Source organism: Homo sapiens, chromosome 9 (assembly GCF_000001405.40).
Source record: "Homo sapiens chromosome 9, GRCh38.p14 Primary Assembly".
Classification (NCBI taxonomy): Eukaryota; Metazoa; Chordata; class Mammalia; order Primates; family Hominidae; genus Homo; species Homo sapiens.
This window is the reverse complement of record NC_000009.12, coordinates 80,755,708-80,763,396: the sequence shown is the minus strand read 5'-3', so window position 1 is coordinate 80,763,396 and position 7,689 is coordinate 80,755,708.

The following is a 7,689-nucleotide window of genomic DNA, read 5'->3' as shown; positions in this document are numbered from 1 at the left end:
TGCAACAACCTCAAATTCTTCCTAAAAACAAGCCTCCTAATATCCTGTATCAAAACCTTTAGTAATATCACCTACAAATATATGTGAGCTTTAAAAAAGCCATTTACATGAAAGCATAACAAGTGACATTGTAAGTGACACCCAAATAAGTATTCCCTGCTGAATGAAAAGTCATCTCTTTGTAGAGCAGAGGAAGACATTCTTTACTTAGAGATGAATATAATGATTTGTAAAATAATTTTGCTTTGTGATCCTATAGAAGTTTCTGATCCTTCTGTTGAAACCACATACAAAGAGAGGGAGGATTTTTTTTTTCTTTCTTTCTTTTTTTTTTTTTTTTTTGAGACGGAATCTCACTCTGTCGCCCAGGCTGGAGTGCAGTGGCACAATCTCCGCTCACTGTAAGCTCCGCCTCCCGGGTTCACACCATTCTCCTGCCTCAGCCTCCGGAGTAGCTGGGACTACAGGCGCCCGCCACCATGCCCGGCTAATTTTTTGTATTTTTTTTTTTTTTTTTTTTAGTAGAGACGGGGTTTCACCGTGTTAGCCAGGATATTCTCGATCTTCTGACTTCGTGATCCACGCGCCTCGGCCCCCCAAAGTGCTGGGATTACAGGCGTGAGCCGCAGCGCCTGGCCGAGGGAGGATACTTTTTAATGAAGAATTATGGAGACTGTGAGGATTTTCTCTTTGCTAACTACACCTTTATCAGTCAGACACAGACAGCCTCACTGAGAGATGTAATCAGCCGTTAAAACAGATGCTGAGGAAATTCATCTAAGGAGAGCAAAAAGATTGGGATGAGTGATTGCCCTATCTCTAGTTTCCTACAGGGAAGTTCTCGATGCATCTATAGATTATTTATTATTTGAACAGTTGCATAGGAGATTATTCCACATGAAATCATTTGTCAGGCAAAAAGGAAATAGCCCAGTAAATATCAAGAGGACATTTACTTGCTAAAAATGAACAGAGATTGTACAAAGCCCTCCTGGGATTCACCCATAAGTTATCCTGTGATGCAAAGGCATGAGAACAAGTACAGTATATTAACTATTCTCAAGTTATGCACCCCAAATGCTAAAGTAATTGCTTTGGAAAGAAACTATCTGCTGGGGCACAATTCAACTTGAAGTTCCAAAATGGTGCATTGTTTCACTATATTGGTTTTTCTAAATGAAATAGTTGTTTAGAATAAGTTGGCTCTGTATTGATACACGATATGCATGCATGCATGCTGGCACAGGCGGGTTGGCAAGCTCTTATTACTATGGCTGACACTGGAGATTCGGTTGCCTTCAGTTCCTTACATAGCTGTACAGTGCCTGATCAGTGATCTGGAAATGCTTTTATTGTTTCCCTTCCTAATGTAACAATTGTCCCTCCTTCTCTGGCTCTTTTACATTTTTGTCACTGTTTATGATTTTTGTCTTTTTGAAGAAGATGATCTGCCATTGGAATAGAAATGCTTGTGTTTCTTTTAAGCATAGATGTGCTACTTTACCTGTTTTAGGTATACAAATATTATCAGGTGAAACCTGTTAAGATTTTTAACGACTATTCAAAAGCATTAGCCCCTCTGAGCTCAGAGGACTATGGACCCAACAGTTTAATTTTTACTCATGTGTATCTCCTGACTGCCACTGGAGAAAAATTTGTATGGCCAACACTGAGGAAAATATTACAGTCTGGTAAAACCCACTGCTAGAATAGCATCCTTGCAATACAAAAATTAAGCAATGACATATTGTTGCTTTAATATAAATTGTAATGCCTTTCCTGATATTGATTAGCTATATTATGTATTGCATTAGTAAATTGTCTGTTATATATTTTCATGGAAAGTTTGCACATAGCAACATTACAATGCCCAAGGAAAATACTGATGAAGTGAAAAATCATGTAATTCTTAAAAAATAACAATTGGAAATATATTGTTTTCCTCCATATTTTTCTAAGTTCTCGCATCAGTGCTACATTAAATGCAGAATTAAGCTGTCTATGTTTGTTTATTTTTACACTTTATTCAAATGTATAAGCATTTTATGAAAACTATAGTTATTATGTATATCACTTCTCAAAAAAATTTTGAAATGTTAATATAGTCAACCTTAACTCTAAACTGGCAGAACTCACTGCAATACATTGATTATATAATATGTTATAAAATGTGCTTTACTTTCAAACAGAGCTTTCTGAGCAGGAAGAGTTTCTATTGATAGCAAGTGAAGCTTACAAAATTAAAGAAGACAAAAATTTGGTTTTTTTATTAAAAATAAACTTGGAAGATCGAAATGGAAAAAAAGAATGAAAACAATAGTAGAATAATCCATACAAAACTTAACATTTAGCTTTGTGTTTTATTTATACAACCTTGAATTATTAAAAATTCCTCAACTAAATATTTGAATAGCTGCATAATATCAGTTTGTATATATATAAAACAAAGTTAATTTTGTCCTTTTTTCCTATTGATAACATTTGCATTTTTAGTTTTATCTTATTATAGACAAAATATAATAAATACCCCTCTATATAAAATATGCTTTTACTCTCTGATTACGTTCTTAGAAGAGATTCTTAGACATGGGTCAGAAATTACGAACATTTTTTATACTCATAAGATTTTGAAAATCTATATTCCACAGTCTTCCTACATACTTCTAGTAGTGCCTCTAGAAATACTGTACCAGGCCTTTTCCAGTGTGAAAACTAAACATAATACATTCATGTTGTCCTAAAGTAGATTTTGTTTTTTCTATAATACATCTGAATTTTTCCATATTTATTAACCATTTATAGTTCATTGGTGAGTTACCTGTTTTATACTTAAATAGACATACAGTTTTCATCTGTGTAGCACACTCTCCTTTGGGAAATATCTCCCTCCCTGAATCCACAGAAATATGTGGCTTAGTCCCAAGTCAACCCTGCCTGCCCCCATTCCCAACCCTCACGCAGCCCCACCAAATAACCACATGTTCTAAGTAGATGCAATCAGAATTTTTGTCTATTGATGTATGGATACTGAAAAAAGAATTATCCCCCTGTTCTGTTAATAAAAGTTCTAAAAACAATAGAGGCTTGGGTCAACCTATGACGGTTTTCCTGACATCATAATGCCATGTTGAAGAAGCATGTCTGCGAATGAAGGCAGGCAGAAGCAAATAGGACTAAAATATAGAAAAAAGAAAACACGTTCATAAACTTGATAGTACCCTTGGATTTAACTCTGCTTTAATCAAATTGCACCACATAGATGTTTCCAATAACAAAAGCTAATAAACAATGTTTTTTCGTTTTTGCCCATCTAGATTGAGTCATGTTTCTGTAATATGTAACCAATAATTTCTAAATATTTAAGCTCTTTTTAAATTTTCTTGCATGTGATTTCTTATTTTGATATGCAAGATTATGTCACCATTGTGGATATTAATTTATTAACTCTTCTAATTGTAAGAATTACTTTCTCGGTATCATATTTTCAGTTTTAAGATTTCTACTATTTGAAAACTGTAAAGATTTATGTTCAATAAATAATATTTTCTTTCATTGTTAATCCCTTTGCTTTTTCTTCGGCATAAGCAGTACATTTCCCTCCAGAAATCTGTTACACATTTGCTTACGTATTCTTCTAGGCTTCATCCTTTGTATTTAACTCTTTAATTCACTGTGATTTTTGTAAGCACAGGCTTTGTCATTATATTTTCCCCATAAATAATCTATTTGCCTTTAAAATGTATAGAATATCTCATAACTCAAACTCTTATATTTTGAAGATTCTCTTTATTACATGTGAAGATTTTTGTGTACTAAAACATGTTTCTTTTATTGTTTGCCTGATTTATTCTAGAAGTTCCTTTAAAAGAATTAACATATAACATTACTATGTACCAAGATTTTATAAGGACATTTACAAATACTAGCATATTCCTATACATCTTATCAGTTATGTACTGTTACTGTCATTTAACAAATGAGGAAACTGGAGCACAGAGAGGATAAATATATTACTCAGGGTCTTATTACAGGTAATGGCTCCAAATGCAAACCTAGATAACATGGTCCCATAATTCATGGTCTTAGTCACTGCATTCTGCCTCTTATTACAGATGTAATACAATCACGATGATAGATGACACCAAAGAAGGGATATATATGATAGCTAAGAAAAGCCAACAAATAACAGCCTGGTCATATTTTTGAAGATATTAATTGCTATAAATGCAATAGGTGTATTAGTTTAGGTATTATGTGTAGCCTGGCTCTACCTCTGACTTTATATCCTGAAAGAGGATGAATATGTTGATATTTCATAATAAAATAAGGAATTAAATGATATATTTCAGAAGTCCTTTTATTTCAAGTAACAGATATCACTGCAATAAAATTAAAGCATCAAAGATATTCACATATTCCTCCCAATTCACAGTGACATTTTAACTTTTCTGATATTGCATATGTTATAAAAATGACATACTTCTCTACCATTCTTTTTCTTTCTGGAAAATGAATTTGTCTTACAAATTACAGCTTCTTGAAATAAAGAAATAGGTATAAGGATTAGAATGGTATCTGCCTCAGGAAGGCATTGAAATCAGGGACTGGAAGCCTGTCTGGACCTTTTCATCTACTTTTATTTCAATTCCTCTCTGCTTGTCTATATCTTTCCGTTGTTTCTTTAGTGTGGCTACTGCTTTTCTCTAATACATGGGGTAGGTGTAAGAAGTGTGTACCATGGGTACTAAGCTTATGTATTCACCTGAAGAAAGTCTCACTCCTTCTCTCTTTATTGATTTCTCTCTCCCTCTCTCCATCCCCTCCCCTGCCTCATTCATTCTCTCTGTTTTTCTCTTCTTCAATTACAAATTCCAGGGAACAAGACTTTGATTTACCTACCTTAAGTCCTGGGCCCATTTCTAGACCAACCACTCAGGGCTATTAGGCAGAGCACAATTTGCCATTGTAAATAGTTGTAGGAAAGTTAAAGGATTCTGTGAGCTGGGAGGGCACCTCTAGGAAGACCCACAGGTGCCTACTTGAAATATATATATATGTATGTATACACACATATATGTGTGTGTGTATATATATATGTATATACACACACACGTGTGTGTGTATATGTATATATACACACATGTGTGTGTGTGTATACGTATATATACACACACATATGTGTGTGTATATACGTATATATACACACATATGTGTGTGTATATGTATATATACACATATATATGTGTGTATATATGTGTGTGTATATATACATATATGTGTATATGTGTGTATATATACATATGTGTGTATATATATACATATATGTGTATATATACACACATATATGTATATATATACGTGTATATATATATGTGTGTGTGTATATATATATATATTTCAAGTAGGCACCTGTGGGTCTTCCTAGAGGAAGACTTCCTAGACTATCTTGGCTTTAAAATAATGGCATATATATATATACATATATATATATGTATATATATACGTGTGTGTGTGTATATATATATATACACATACGTGTGTGTGTATATATATACACATATATATACACATACATATGTGTGTGTATATATATACACATATATACACATACATATGTGTGTGTGTATATATATACACATATATATGTTTGCCATTATTTTAAAGCCAAGGTAGTTCAAGTTTACTGATATCACACTATATTTCTTACTTGTCCATTGCTTGTTCTTTATCCCAAGTTTTGAATTCTTATGGCATAAAACAACCTATGACTGTGTTTTCCAGGAGCAAAAGATAAAACGTACCCTTTTCCATGTAGAAAATCTGTATAAGGATACAGAAAAGGAATATGTATTTAAATTTTAAATATTTGTATTAGCCTGTATGTTTATTAGAAAATCTAGATAAAAAAATTTTATCTGGATGTTTGTCATTATATTGGTATAACCAAAATATCTTCATATTAAATAGTGATATAACTTTCAAAAGTTAAAACTAAAATTAGAACTCCTATTTTTTGTTTATTGATCTCTCTCTCTCCCTCTATCTCCATCTGTCTCATAAATAAAATTTTAAAACATGGCCCCCTTCACCATAGATTGATTTCCTTGAGTTATAAATTACTCATGTTTTCAAGAATTTTACTGCGTATGTTTATTTTATGAAAGAGACTTACATGGTTTGAATCTGTATCCTCACCCAAATCTCATGTCCAGTTGTAGTCCCCAGTGTTGGAGGTGGGGCCTGGTGGGAGGTGACTGGATCGTGGGGGTGGGCCTTCATGAATGGTTTAGGGCCATCCCTTTGGTGCTGTTCCTGTTCTGTGGATAGTGAGTAATTTCGAGATCTCATTGTTTAAAAGACAATCTCTCTTGCTCCTGGCTCCTGCCATGTAAGACCTGCCTGCTTCTCCCTTACCTTCCACCATGATTGTAAGTTCCCTGGCACCTCCCCGGAAGCCAAGCAGATGGCAGAATTATGCTTCCTGTACAGCCTGTGGAACAGTGAGCCAATTCAACCTCCTTTCTTAACCCGGTCTCAGGTATTTCTTTATAGCAATGCAAGAATGAACTAATACAGGAAACATGGGTAGCTTTGCAGAACATTAACCAAGACTCAAATGCAACTGCTACCTTCTTTTACATACTGGCATTCCATGGGATCTCTTTTATATAAGTTACTGCCAAGCTGGCAAGCAGGGCTTCATGTGAAGCCCAGTGCAAAACAAAAATGAGGGACTCCCTGTTCAAAAATTAACTCTGTTCAAAATTAAGAATTTCAAGATGGTGGCAGAGCATTAAACCAAGCAATCACTGGGGCCCTTCTACGGACAGGGCTTTGTGTGACTGCAGAGTTACATGTCTAGGAAGCATGACCTGTACCCAAGTGTTAGATAAGACGGGCAAAATTCACCTTTGGGTTTCATCAATTCATCTTTAAAATATATCCTCACAATAAATGAACAGAACATTAATTTTTTTAATTTTAACAATTATTTTTCAGTGAAAAATACAACTTTATAATCAAAGCAGAGTGAAAAAAGTATAACTTGCAGAATATTAAATTCACATATAATTTGTGAATAAGTAATTTAATTATTATGTTTAGATTCTATACAATTGCATGGTGCTTGTGTTACATAATGTTTACTTCTGGAGTTATTGTAAAATCATTATCATGAAACTGCAGTAGAAAAAAATATCCCAATCACAGGAAAATAATTTGATTAAAAGATAAAATTTAATTTCTTAATATTTTTCCAATAGAAAAAGCAAAATTCAGTGAAAATAGTTTCTTAGATAATTTTAATCAGGGAGAGAAGCAAAATATTTTTAATTCAGGTCTCAAAACGGACTTATCAATTGTGATGCTCAGGAATACCTCACCATTGCATTTTATCTGTAGCAGCAAATATGCAAATGTAATAAAATATTTGAAGTTAGTAATCAGAGGTAAACTTTAATAGTACAAGGTAAGAACTAAAGCCTTATCCTGATTGGTAGCTCTTATCTATAAGATGAGGAGGAAGGTTTGATACAGAGTAACTCCAGGCTTTCATTAGATGTAAATTACATGTCAAGAAACAGTGCCCCAGTCCTCTGATAAGGAGAGTGAGACTACCTAGATAAGAAAGAGAGAAGGCAGATAAGAGGGAGCAAAAAAGAGGAGAAAAGAGCACAAGAGACTTAGATC